At 47.3% G+C, this 14081-nt stretch overlaps 1 pseudogene, besides 2 other annotated features; it reads right to left on the bottom strand.

The window, feature by feature from the left end:
* On the bottom strand, positions 6078-7046 carry OR7E157P (olfactory receptor family 7 subfamily E member 157 pseudogene; annotated as a pseudogene).
* Positions 12187-12687: an enhancer, noted in NCBI's record as "H3K4me1 hESC enhancer chr8:7443869-7444369 (GRCh37/hg19 assembly coordinates)". NCBI's record gives its function as "activates a minimal SCP1, AML or CMV promoter by ChIP-STARR-seq in primed H9 embryonic stem cells {active_cell/tissue: H9 hESC(primed)}" and the evidence as "EXISTENCE:reporter gene assay evidence [ECO:0000049][PMID:30033119]".
* Positions 12688-13188: an enhancer, noted in NCBI's record as "H3K4me1 hESC enhancer chr8:7443368-7443868 (GRCh37/hg19 assembly coordinates)". NCBI's record gives its function as "activates a minimal SCP1, AML or CMV promoter by ChIP-STARR-seq in naive and primed H9 embryonic stem cells {active_cell/tissue: H9 hESC(naive and primed)}" and the evidence as "EXISTENCE:reporter gene assay evidence [ECO:0000049][PMID:30033119]".

Raw genomic sequence — 14081 nt, 5'->3', positions numbered from 1 at the left:
ACAGTCTGCTGAGCAGAGAGTTGCACATTGGTCTCCTCACATCTGCCCACCGCACTCTCCTGTTTGTCCTGAGGATGAGGAAACAAACAAGTCTCCCGACCGTCCCTCAGCACTCACTTGAAGGGGTGGCCTCCTCCTCCACAGCTGTGGGTATTTCCAGTCGGGTAGGACGAGAGACTGAGAAAAGAAATAAGATACAGAGACAAAGTATGGAGAAACAACAGTGGGCCTAGGGGACCGCCGCTCAGCATACCAAGGACCTGCACCGGCACAGGACTCTGAGTTCCCTCAGTTTTTATTGACTATTATTTTTATTATTTTAGCAAAAAGGAATGTAGTAGGAGCGCAGGGTGATAATAAGGAGAAGGTCAGCAACGAACATGTGAGAAATAGAATCTATTTCATAAGGAATTTCAAGGAAAGGTACTATGACTGGATGTGTACGTAAGCCAGATTTATGTTTCTCTCCACCCAAACATCTCAGTGGAGTAAAGAATAACAAGGCAGCATTGCTGCAAACATGTCTCGCCTCTTACCATAGGGCGGTTTTTCTCCCATCTCAGAATTGAACAAATGTACAATCGGGTTTTATACCGAGACATTCAGTTCCCAGGGGCAGGCAGGAAACAGCGGCCTTCCTCTCTCTCAACTGCAAGAGGCTTTCCTCTTTGACTAATCCACCTCAGCACAGACCCTTTACGGGGGGCGGGCTGGGGGATGGTCAGGTCTTTCTCATCCCACCAGGCCATATTTCAGACTATCACATGGGGAGAAACCTTGGACAATACCCTGCTTTCAAGGGCAGGGCTCCCTGCGGCTTTCCACAGTGTATTGTGCCCCTGGTTTATTGATACTAGAGAATGGCGATGACTTTTACAAAGTATACTGCTTGGAAACATCTTGTTAACAAGGCAAGTCCTGCATAACCCTAGATCCCTTAAACCTTGATTTCATACAACACATGTTTTTGTGAGCTTCAGGTTGGGTCAAAGTGGCTGGGGCAAAGCTACAGATTAACAACATCTCAGCAAAGCAATTGTTGAAAGTACAGGTCTTTCTCAAAATGGAGTCTCTTATGTCTTTCCTTTCTGCATAGACACAGTAAGAGTCTGATCTCTCTTTCTTTTCCCTACACTCACTGAACTGCCTCTCCCCTCTGCTGGGACATGACCACGGAGAACAGGTCCACTGTCCTCCCTGCGTGGTGCACCATGGAGGCTCAGGCTCCGTCCTCAAGGCTGGCAAGAAGACAGGGTGAGACATGAGCCTCCTGATACAGGTGACGGCTGTGGAGCCCACAGGACTGCAACCTCACACTGCAGGGCTGGAGGCACAGACTGAGTATTTACTATCCTGTGGCCTGGGGGGCTCAGGCACAGAGCTCCTCATTAGCCAAAGCCGCCCAAGTTCCCCAGCCTCTAAGGATGTCCTCATAATAATGCAAGAAGAAGAGAAAAGTGAGTGTCCATAGAAACTTTGGGGCTCTTCCTCTAATCAGAAGAAAGCTGGTGTGTATTCTTCGCTTCTTTCTTTTCTTTTTAAACATCCAACTGCTTTAATTTTCATCTTTTATAATGGGAAAATATACCACGTATAAATATTAAAAATTATAAATATATATTAGTTCATATAGAATGGCCAGTATAAACATTTACAATTTCCACTCTTTTTCAGTTTACAGATTAATGACATTAAGTACGTTAACATTATTTAGCAAGCATCACCGCCATCATCTCAGGAACAGTTTTATCTTTCAAAATGGAAATTCCACCCATTCACCAAGCTCTCCATTCCTTTCTCTCGCCCACCCCTGGGGGCCACCTTTCTAGTTTGCAACTCTATGAGTTTAACTACTCTAGACACTTGATAGATAAGTGGAATCATACCGTGTTTTTTTTTTTGTTTTGGAGACAGAGTCTTTCTCTCTCACCCAGTCTGGAGTGCAGTGGTGTGATCTCGGCTCACTGCAACCTCCACATCGTGGGTTCAAGCGATTCTTGTGTCTCAGTCTCCCGAGAGGCTGGGATTACAGGCGTGCGCCACCACACCCTGCTAATTTTTGTATTTTTAATAGAGACGAGCTTTCACCATATTGGCCAGGCTGGTCTCGAACTCCTGACCTGAAGTGATCCGCCTGGCTCAGCCTCCCAAAGTGCTGGTGTTACAGGTGCGAGCCACTGAGCCTGGGCCTGTTTATCCTTTTGGGATTTATTTATTTCACTGACGATAATGTCTTCAAGGTTCATCCATGTTGCGGCCTGCCTCAGAAGTGCCTGTCTGTTTTTTTTTTGTTGTTTTTTGTTTGTTCGTTTGACTTTGTTTTGTTTTGTGTTTCCATAGAGTCTCACTCTGTCGCACAGGCTGGAGTACAGTGGCACAATCTGGGCTCACCTCCGCTTCCCGGGTTCCAGTGATTCTTGTGCCACATCCTCCCGAGTAGCTGGGACTATAGGCACACGCCTCCATGCTCATCTCATTTTTTGCATTTTCAGTAGGGACAGGGTTTCCCCAAGATGGCCAGGCTGGTCTTGAATTCCTGACCTCAGATGATCCGCCCACCTCGGTCTTCCAAGACGCTGCGATTACAGGCGTGAGCCACCGCACCGGCCAGAAGTGCCTGCCTTTTGAAGGCTGAATAGTCTTCCATTGTATGAAGGAACTGCAGTGGGCTTTTTCATTCATCTGTCCACGAACCCTTGGGTTGCTTCCACATTTTGGCTCTTGTGAATAATGCTGCTATGAATATGGGTGTACACAAATCTGTCTTCCACTCCTGGCTTCTTTTTGTAGGTACCCACAAATGCAACTGCGGCAACATATGATCATCCTGTTTCTAATTTTTCCAGTAGACGCCATACTATTTTCCCCGTTCCTTCACGGTTTTACATTCCTTCTGATCAGATTCGAGCATTCCTACTTCCCTCTAGTCTCACCAATCCTGTTTGTTTATCATATCCATCCTAATGTGTGGTGTCACATTCTTGGTTTGATTTGCGCTTCCCTATGATGAGTGATTTTGAACATCATTTTAGATGCTTATTGGCCATTGCTATATCTTCTTTAGGAACACGTCTACTTGAGTCTTCTGACCATTATTGATGGGATGCTTTGGGTTTCTTGTTCTTTAGTTCTGCCTGTTCTTTATGTATGATGGATATCAGCCTCTTTTCAGATATATGCTTTGAAAATATTTTTCCTAATCCATGGGTTATCTTTTCACTCAGTTTGCCGTGATTTTGCTGCACAAAAGTGTCTGTCATTTCGATGTAATCCAAGGAATCTAATTTTCTTTTGTTGCCTATGCTTTTGGTGTCATATCCCAGAGAACATTGCCCAATCTGATGTCATGAAAGCATGGCCAATGTTTTCCTTTAGGCGAATGATTCTTTTAGCGCTTGGGGTGAGGTCTTTGATCCAGTTTGTGTTAATTTTTGCCCCTGGTGTGACATAGTGTCCACCTTCATTCTTCTGCATGTGGAAATCAAGTTTCTCCAACACCATTTCTTGAAAAGGCTGTTTTTCCACCAATGAGCTTTCTTACCACTCATGTTAAAAATCGTTTGAACATACAGGTGACAAGTTATTTCTGGGCTCCAAAATAAACAAACAACAGCAGACAACAGATAATGTTACAGCATGGGCCGGGCCCGTCGCTCACGCCTGTAATCCCAGCACTTTGGGAGGCCGAGGTGGGCGGATCACCTGATGTCAGGAGTTGAAGACCAGCCTGACCGACAGGGAGAAACCCCCGTCTCTACTACAGGCGCGTGCCTGTAATCCCAGCTACTCGGGAGGTGGAGACAGGAGAATCGCTTGAACCCAGGAGGCAGAGGTTGCGGTGAGCCAAGATTGCACCATGACACTCCAGCCTGGGCAACAAGAGCAAAACTCCATCTCAAAACAAAAAACAAAAAACAAAAAACCAGCATGATTTCAAGAGCAGAAAGAGAAGAGCTGAAAAACCAGCATAATGAGAAAATTAGGAAGTTTCTTACCAAAGCATCTGGAAATATTCAAGAAATTCTTGTGAACTAAAATTTTCATACTGTACAATCAAACACTAGAACTCACTTATTCCATCTTTCTGTATTTTGGGACCCAATTATCCACTTGTCTTCATTCCCCATCCCACCCCTTTTCTTCCTAGCGTCTGCTAACCACCTTTATACTTTCCACCTTCCTGAGATTCCTTTTGTGTGTAGGTGTGTGATGGAGTCTCTTTATGTTGCCCAGGTTGGAGTACACAGGCACAATCCGGGCTCACTGAAAGCTCCGCCTCCCGAGTTCAAGCGCTTCTTGGGCCTCAGCCCTCCGAGTAGCTGAGACTAGAGGCACGCGTCACCACGCCCGGCTAATTGCTTGTTTTTTCCGTAGAGACGGGGTTTCACCATGTTGGCCAAGCGGGTCTCGAACCCCTGGACTCAAGTGATCCCTGCGACTCGGCATCCCAGAGTGCTGGGATTACAGGTCTGAGCCACCACGCCTGGTCAAGGTTTCCTTTTTTCTTCCTACGTAGAAGTGAGGACATGAAATATTTGACATTCTGTGCCTGGCTTATTTCATTTAATATACAGACCTGCAATCTCATCCATTTTGTCTGCAGCGGAGAGGATTTTCTTCCTCTTTAGGCTGAATAATACTTCATTGGGTGTGTATACCACAGTTTCTTTATTGAAACAAATTTCTAAAGAGCAAATATTTTTAAAGTCTCAGAATGTGAAACTTCAGGGATACCGTGCCCATTTTATTCTTTTCTATTTCCCATCTTATGTATCTGCAAGTGTATAACAAAGCAGCAATTGATGTGTGTATAAATCGATAACTTCAACAATTGCAAAATGTAAATGCTAAGTGGTGGCTGGGCGCGGTCCCTCATGCGTGTAATCCCAGTACTTTGGGAGGCGGAAGCGGCCGGATCACCTGAGGTCGGGAGTTCAAGACCAGCCTGACCAAAATGGAGAAACATTGTCTCTACTAACAATACAACAACAACAACAACAACAAAAAGATAGCCAGGCATGGTAGCGCATGCCTGTAATCCCAGCTACTTGGAAGGCTGAGACAGGAGAATTGCTTGAATACGGGAGGCAGAGGTTGCAGTGAGCCGAGACCGTGCCATTGAACTCCAGCCTGGGCAACAAGAGTGAAACTCTGACTCAAAAAAAAAAAAAAAAAAAAAAAAAAAAAGGACAAGAAGGAAATAGAAAATGCGAAATGGTAAGAAAAAACAGCATAATAAACATTCGTATGGTGTTGATGGACAATGCATTTGAAGATAATATTTGAAGAAATCATATTACAATTAATTTCTGTTCTTACTCATTGCAGCTTGATGCCTCTAAAAACTTCGTCATTGGAACCACCTCTGGTGCTTTAAAAGAAAAAAAAAAATCCACACACTCACACAGGTGCAAGGAAATCAGAATCTCAGGTATTGAGAACCAGTCCTCATCATGTGTAAGCTGCCCAGGTGATTTGACTCAAAGCCAAGATTGAGGAACGGCGACATGGATATCTACACAGAACCTGCCTAAATAGATTCTCTAGAAGAAGTTTATAAAGAAATTCCACATGAACTGTGGAAGAGGATATGAATTTGATGTACAGTATGTCCTCACTTAACATCTTTGAAAGTCTCTTGGAAACTTCACCTTGAAGCAAAATTATGTATAGTGAAACCACTTATTTTTCATCAACAGTATAACTACACGACTTTGAACAACCAATGCTGTTGGAGGACCTTCTGTACATTGTTTCCATAAAGTCAGTTTTCAGGGAATTCCAAAACGAAGTGAGGACTTCGTGTATATAAAATGATGGTTGTGATTCCACCTGGATGGCATGGTTATTGCTCAGAGACTAAAAGAGGCCACCTAGGTATAGAAGATTCTGTCATGAGGTTTCTGCTAAACCAAGGATCCCAGAATCGTCACTCATTCCAGATAAAGGCATAACGAAGAAAGCAATATTCACAAAGGAAATGCGGAAAGGAATAAAAGCCATCAAGCCACAAAAAGAATGTGACTGAGGGGCAGGATTTGCAGATGTAGAGATTTAATGTGGTTGCCCTTTCTCACCCACACAAGAAAAAGGATGGAACAGATCATGATATTCGACTGCTCTGCTGCGCAGCCTCCGCAGGGCACTTTGTATGTCCCTGTTTCTCAGGCTGCAGATGAAAAGGTTCAGCATGGGGTGACCACAGCGTACATCACTGAAGCCACCACACCATTCCTGGGGGGTGGTGACCCAGCTGAAGTCAGGTACAAGCCAATGCCTGTTCCATAAAACCAGCAAACAACTGCTAGATGACAGCCACAGGTGGAGAAGGCTTTATACTTCCCATCTGACGATGAAATCCTTAGAATGGAGGGGACAATTTTATAGTAAGACAAAAAGATCCCTGAAATGGGAAGAAAACCAAACATAGTACTATCGAAATATATGAATATGTTATTGATGACGCTGTCAGAACAGGCAAGTTTGAGAAGTTGAGAGGGGTCACAGACCAAATTAGAGATTTCCACATTCTTGATGATGGTTAATTGTAACACAATCCAACTGTGCAGCTGGGAATCCAACAGGCTAAGGAAAAAGGACACCAAAACGAAGAAGACACAGAGGTGAGGATTCACGATGATTGAGTAGTGCAGAGGGCGACAGATGGCTACAAAGCAGTCATAGGCCATCACAGTCAGGAGCATGCCTTCTATACATGCAACAAGGAGCAGGAAAGACATCTGTGTCAGGCAGCCCGCATGAGAGATGACTCTGCTATGCGACTGCGTGTCCACAATCATCTTGGGAACCATGGCCGAGGTGAAACCGATGTCAGGCCAGCACAGGTTGGAGAGGAAGAAGTACATGGGGGTGTGGAGGGGGGAGTCAGAGCTGACAGCCAGGATGCTGAGCAGGTTCCTCAGCACCGTGACCAGATACATGGACAGGGACAGGGACAGCAAAGCGAGGACCGGCTGCAGTTCTGGATCCTCTGAGAGTCCCAGGAGGAGGAATTCTCAGACATCTGTGAGATATTAGTCCCAACATCCCAGAGGGTGTACACTACCCCTGTGATATTGTCCCTAACTTCCAGAGGGGAGAGGATGACATCACTCCCAATATCTCAGAAGTTGTACATCCCCCGTGATATTGTTCGTCATATCCAGGGAGGCGCAGGATGACATTCCATTGAATTTCGCGACAGGCCTACACGCACAGTGTGATACTGTTCCTACTATCCAAGAAGGGAGAGGATGATATTACTCACAATAAAGCAGTGGGTGTACATCACCCCTGTGTTGTTGTCTCTAATATCCGGGGCCGGGGGAGGAGGGGAGAGGATAACATTGCCTCCAATTTAGCAGGTGGTTTGACGCCCCTTGTGCTGTTGTTTTAAATATCCAGCGGGGAAGACAGTAGTACTATTTTTGATAGTCCGATTCATCCTCTCCACCTTTCCGGAACTCTGAGGCCGGGAGGCGGCATGTAGTTTCCGTGTGATCCCCAATACCTTTGCCGTTTTCTGTACCAAGGCAGCCAAAAACGCAGGCCCGTTGTCTGAGCCGATCCATAAGGGCGGTCGAAATCTAGGAATCACATCTCGAAGAAGCACAGGGGTTACTTCACCAGCTTTCTCAGTTCGTGTTGGATAGGCCTCCACCCACCCAGGGTAGGTACGCCCAAGAACCAGTACATGCTTGTTACCTCCACACTTTGGCATCTCTGTGAAGTCCACCTGGAGACCTTCAAAGGGGGCTGCTCCACAAGCTCGTATGCCGGGCGGAACGGCTGGACCTTGACTCCCATCATGCTGTCAGCAGGTAACACACCGCTGCCTCACCGTTTTGGCAAGGGTTGACAAAGGCGAGATGTAGAAATACCGGCCTAACAACTTTTCCAGTGACTCCTGACCTCGATGGGTGTTTTCTTGCACAGCCAGTACAACTGCAGCTCCTAGCAGCTGTGGCACAGCTACTCTCCTATCTGGTAACTGAATCCATCCTTCCTCCATCACTTGTCCTTCCCTCTACCTGGAGAAAGTCCTTTCTTCTTTAGAAGAAGCAGGTCCAAGATCAGGTGCTTGAGGGAGCACTGATGCCCAGAAGGGGGCAGTTGCTGCTTTTCGAGCCTCTGACTCAGCGCGGGAATTCCCCAAACACAGCAAGGTGGAAGCTCGCTGGTGTCCTCTGCAATGCCTAACTGCCACCTTGTGGGGTTTCCATACTGCTTCTAATCATTGCAAGATTTCTTGTGGATATTTTCTGTCTTTCCCCCCAGAATTCAATAGGCCCTTTTCTTTCTATCACACTCCATGCACTTGAAGGGTTAAAAAGACATACCGAGAATCAGTGTAAGTGTTGACAGTCTCACCCTCACTGAGTTCTAAGGCCCAAATGAAAGCATTGAGTTCAGCTTTCTGGGCTGAAGTGGCCTGGGGCAACGACCTGGTTTCAACAACAGTGTCCAGAGTTATCACTGCATACCCTGCACCTCTCTCTCCTTGGGGGTTGAAGAAGCTGCTCCCATCCACGTGTGGTTCCCAGTCTACTGATGCCCAAGTCTGGTCCCGGAGCTCAGGTCTGCTAGAGTCAATTGAGTCCAACACTTCTACACAATCAGGCTCGACAGGGCTCCCTGATACCGGCAGCAAGGTGGCGGGGTGTAGGGTGTTACAAACTTCAATGGTTATACGGGGATTTTCACAGACCAAAGTTTGGTACTTGGTGAGCCTGGCATTCGTTAGCCAATGACGTCCTTTAGTATTCATCACCACAGCACGGGAGGCCTTTATGTTCAGGTTTCGCCCAAGAGTCAGCTTATTTGCTTCTTATACTAGCAGGGCAGTTGCTGCCAAGGCCCTCCAACAGGGGGGCCATCCTTTAGAAACCCCGTCTAGTGGTTTACAGAGGTAGGCCACCAGCCTCAGCCAGGGCCCCACAGTTTGGGTTCAAAGTCCAGCTGCCATCCTTTCTCTCTCTGATGCATACAATGGAAAAGGCTTTGTCAGATCGGGTAGCCTCAGGGCTGGTGCTGCCAGAAGTTTTTCCTTTAACTCATGAAATACTTGCTGTTGTTGGGATCCGCATTCCAAAGATTCACCGTCCCCGCCCCCCTTGTGACCTCATACAAAAACTTGGCTAATACTGCAAAGTTTGGGATCCACAGTCTACAAAACCCCACAGCTCCTAAGAATTCTCTTACCTGCCTTCTGCTCTTAGGCTCCGCTAGATGGCAAATGACCTGCTTTCTTTCTGATCCCGGGCTGCGTTCCGACCCCTGTCGGATAGTAAATCCCAAGTAACGTACCTGCTGTCGGCAGATCTGAGCTTTTTTCTTGGACACCTTCTACCCACAGTCCTCCAGGTGCGGTGTAGGGCATCTGTTCCCTTGGCACACCCGACTGCCGTGGGGTGTCCCAGCAGAAGGTCATCAACCTACTGGAGCAACAAGCATCCTAGGTCTCTGCTAGGAAACTTCTGGAGGTCTCGAGCCCATGCCTCCCCGAAGATGGTGGGGGAGTTCTTGAACCTTTGGGGAAGCCCGGTCCAAGTGTACTAAGTAGTGACACCTGACTCCGGATCTTCCCACTGAAAGGCAAACAGCTTCTGCCTCTCAGGGGCTAATCTGATAGGAAGGAAAGCGTCTTTTAGGTCCAAGCAGGTGAACCAGCTGTCCTCAGCTGGCGGCAACCCCAACAATGTGGACGGGTTAGGTACTGTTGGATGTAAAGTCAGTGTGGCTTGATGAAGCAAGCGCAAATCCTGTACCGGCCGGTAGTCCTTGGTCCGTGGCTTGGGAACAGGCAGGAGGGGAGTGTTCCATGGAGACTGACAAGGAACAATCATTCCAAACGTTCTTAGGTGCTTGAGATGGACCTGGATACCTTGAAGGGCTTCTCTGGGGACCGAGTCCGGTTTTTGCCTCACCGGCTGGGCCCCAGTCTTAACTGGCCAATCCTGGAGGGTTCTCTTCTGCCCGAACTCTTGGCCAGCGCTTAGCCAGAGCTGGTCTTTTCTCTTTGCCCGGGTCAGTTCAGAAAAGTCTCCATTCCTCCTCTCGGGGGACCATAAGCGTCATAATGACTCCCATTCCGGGTAACTTTAGCAGCAAAGAGCCATGCTCTGTGAAAGAGGCAGTGGCTCTCAGCTTGCTGAGCAAGTCCCTTCCTGAAAAGTTCAAGAGACTGTCAGGCATGTAACAAAACTGATGAATGACTTTATGTCCTCCTACAGGACAAGTCCAAGGCAAGCAGAAAGCTTGCTTTGCTGAAACCCCCGTGGCTCCGATGACGTCAGTAGTCTTTTTCGGTAAGGGGACGACCGGGGCGGTTACTAGCGAATGTTCAGCACCGCTATCTACAAGAAAGTTAATGTCTCCACCCCTGACTGTCATTCTGAACAGATGTCAGAATGGGGATGCTTGAGCCCGGTCTCCCTCAGTCCAAGAACCCTTCTGCCAGGTTGAGCAGGGCCCCTTCCTCCTTGTCCGGGGCCTCCGGCTCTGAGTCACCTTCTTTTCTTTTGAGCTGAGGGCATTTGTTCTTCCACTGTCCTATTTCTTTACAATCAGCACACTGGTTACGCTGCAAACTCTGACAGCCAAGCTGAGTTTCTTTCCCAGGGCCCCCTTTCCCTTGCCTCTTTGCGGGGGCCCCTCTGATTGCTGCAGCTGACAAACAGGTCGGCGTGTGGCCGGGACTGACCTCCATCCTCTTTGCCGTTTTCCTTACGGCTTACTGCATACCTGTTTACAAACACCTGGCTAGCTATTTCTAGTAATTGGGATGGATTCTTCCCTGCAAGCCCAGTCTGTTTCTGCAGTTTTCTTCTCATGTCTTCTGCACTTTGATGGACTAAAGCCATGTGAATCATGCGCTGATTTTCAGGGCTATCGGGATCAAAGGGAGTATACATATGATAGGCCTCATACAGTCTCTCGTAGAATTGTGCTGGACTTTCTTCTTTTCCCTGAATGACCTCAGAGAGCTTGTTAACGTTTGTGGCCTTCTGAGCTCCCCTCATTAATCCTTCCAAGAGAGCTTCCCTGTCTCGGTTTAGCCTTTGCATCTCCTCTCTTTCATGTGGGTCCAACTGGGGGTCGGTTCCTGGCAACTGGGTCCTTCCATACTATTGGGGGTTTTGATAATCAGCTGGTGCATGTTCCTCTAGCCACTTAGTTGCTGCTTGGAGGACTCTCTGCCTTTCTTCACTGTTAAAGAGGAAAATGAGCAACTGGTGCCAATCGGTCCAGGTGTGGTTGTGGGTCTGGATAACAGTTTGGAGCAAATCAATTAGGGCTTGTGGCTTTTCGGTATAGGGCGATGTATTGTTTTTCCAGTTGAGAAGGTCGACGCAGGTGAAGGGCTGGTACCCAAAAACACGTCTCTCCACTACATGAGCATTTTCATCTATCCCAGTATACCGCTGCTCTCTCAGGGGCATTTGTGTCCCCGTTTTGGGTCGTAAACGAGCTGCCGAGGAAGGGGTGGAATGGCGCAATGCGACTTACCGCAATTAATAATCTCAATTATTAACTGACACTAATAATTATCAATATTAATAACCCATAATATAATTTTTAAAATCAATACCGATACTAATGATAATTAATATTAAATAGTTATACTAACAATAACAATACATGATTAATATTAATGATTATGACGCCTGATATTAATAACTGATACGGATCTTATTCATTAGAAAATAGTAATATTAGCTCCTAATAATTAATATTAATATTAATAATCTGAGAACTTTTTATTAGCAATTACTTCTTAATATTAATATTAATATCGGCCATTCATATTCATGTTAATAAAAAACAAGGAATAATTCATACTAATAGTATGCCCTAATACCTCAGTGGGTGTACACCCACCTGTGATATTGTTCCTAATGTTCAGGGAGTGAGAGAGCATGATATTACGTACAATATCGCAGCAGGTGCACACCCAGCCGGTGATATTGATCCGAATATAATCTCCAGGGGGTGGAGTATAACATTACTCCCAATATAGCACTGGGTGTGCATCCACCCGGTGATTTTGTTCCTAACATTCATGGAAGAAGAGAATGCTATTACTCCCAACATCGTAGGAAGTGTACACCCCCGTGTGACATGGTTCTTAATAATATTCCAAGGCGGAGGGGGTGATATGACTACACATATGGCAGAAAGTGGACACCCCCAAGGATATTGTTCCCACGATCCTGGAGGGAAGAGGATGATATTACTTTCAGTATCACAGAAGGTGGACACGCCCCCACTGATATTGTTTCTAATTGCAACGTGGGAGAGGATGATATGACACGCGATATCCCAGGGAGTAGAAACACCCCTGTGATACTGTTCTTAATATTCAGAGAGGAAGAGGATGATATGACTCCCAATACAGACGGGTGTACAACCTCTGTACGCCGGGGTGAACACCGGTGGGTGAAACAGTTCACAATCTCCAGAGCGGGAGACGATATTACTCACAATATGATAAACAGGCTGTGAGTCCACCGCGGATCCTAAAAACCAGGGGGGCAAGAGGGGTTAGCTCTTACTCTCCGCATGGCGGGGCGTGCCTCACCCCCTGCGATGGGGGTCCTAAGAGCCAGGAGGTAAGATGGGAAGGCTCTTAATACCCGCATCAAGGGGCGTGCCTCACACCACTGCGATGGGGGTCCTGAGAGCCAGGGGGGCAAGAGGGGCTGGCTCTTACCCCAAGCATAGCAGGACGTGACTCACCCCGCTGCGATGGGGGAAACTAAGAGCCAGGGGGGCAAGAGGGTTTGGCTCTTACAACCCGAAATGGGGGGAGTGCCTCACACCCTGCGATGGGGGTCCTAAGAGCCAGGGAAGCAAGAGGGGCTGCGGGAGACAGCGGCTGTCCTCCATCTAAATTGCAAGAGGCTTTCCTCTTTGACTAATCCACCTCGGCACAGACCCTTTACGGGTCTCAGGCTGGGGGCCAGTCAGGTCTTTAACATCCCACGAGGCCATATTTCAGACTGTTACATGGGGAGAAACCTTGGACAATAACCTGCTTTCAAGGGCAGAGGTCGCTGCGGCTTTCGACGGTGCATAGTGCCCCTGGTTTATTGAAACTAGAGAATGGCAATGACTTTTACCAAGTATACTGCTCGCAAACATTTGGTTAACAAAGCACGTCCTGCACAGCCCTAGATCCCTTAAACCTCGATTTTATACAACACAGGTTTTCTGAGCTCCAAGTTGGGTCAAGGGGGCTGGGGCAAAGTGGATGAGGCAAGGCAACAAATGAACAACATCTCAGCAAAGCAATTGTTTAAAGTACAGGTCTTTTTCAAAATGGAGTCTCTTATGTCTTCCCCTTCTACATAGACACAGTGACAGTCTGATCTCTCTTTCTTTACCCTACATCCAAGGGCTTGAACATTTCTTGACTTGTTGGCAATCCAAATCGTTACGTCTCCGAAACAGAGTTGACTGAGGGGACCGCAGGGCTGGGCAGGACCTTTGACTTCCTATACATCCACAGGAGCAAGAAAACCTCAGCCCCACTCTACCAACACGCACCTAGTAAAATTCCGCCAACCGAATCTCACGCACGCTAACACGTGGGGAGCGTTGCTTGCACCACAAGTCCCCATTTGGCTCAACCGCCGATGCCAAGTGTGTGGTTCCAGTTGCGACGGCCCCCCGTGAAGTGGCTTCCGGATGTGCGAAGGAACCAGGCAGAGTTTCACTGGCCAAATAGACCCCAGCAAAGCTGAAGTTAACTCCCACATTTGGGATGTACTTCAGAGGTAAAACATTCATCCCGTCTTCTTTCCGGATGTCTGACACCATGGTTCTCCCCCTGATCCTAAGAGTAGCTGAGGCAGAGACTCACTGAAAGATCTAGGCGGGGATATCCCATCATGCACAGGCTCTCTCCATTCTCTGACCTGGGACCAACTCTCAGCAGGATTCCACATCTAGGAGGCCTCGGAACTCAGCGGGATTTTCTGAGACACACCAACTGGCTGCTCCCTTTCCGCCGCTGTTGAGGGTCGTTATCTTGATTATCCAGATCAACTAGAAAGTATCCGTATCCAGAATGAATAAGA

The sequence above is a fragment of the Homo sapiens genome, chromosome 8 (assembly GCF_000001405.40).
Source record: "Homo sapiens chromosome 8, GRCh38.p14 Primary Assembly".
In the NCBI taxonomy this organism is placed as follows: Eukaryota; Metazoa; Chordata; class Mammalia; order Primates; family Hominidae; genus Homo; species Homo sapiens.
This window is presented reverse-complemented; position numbering and strand designations above follow the sequence as displayed.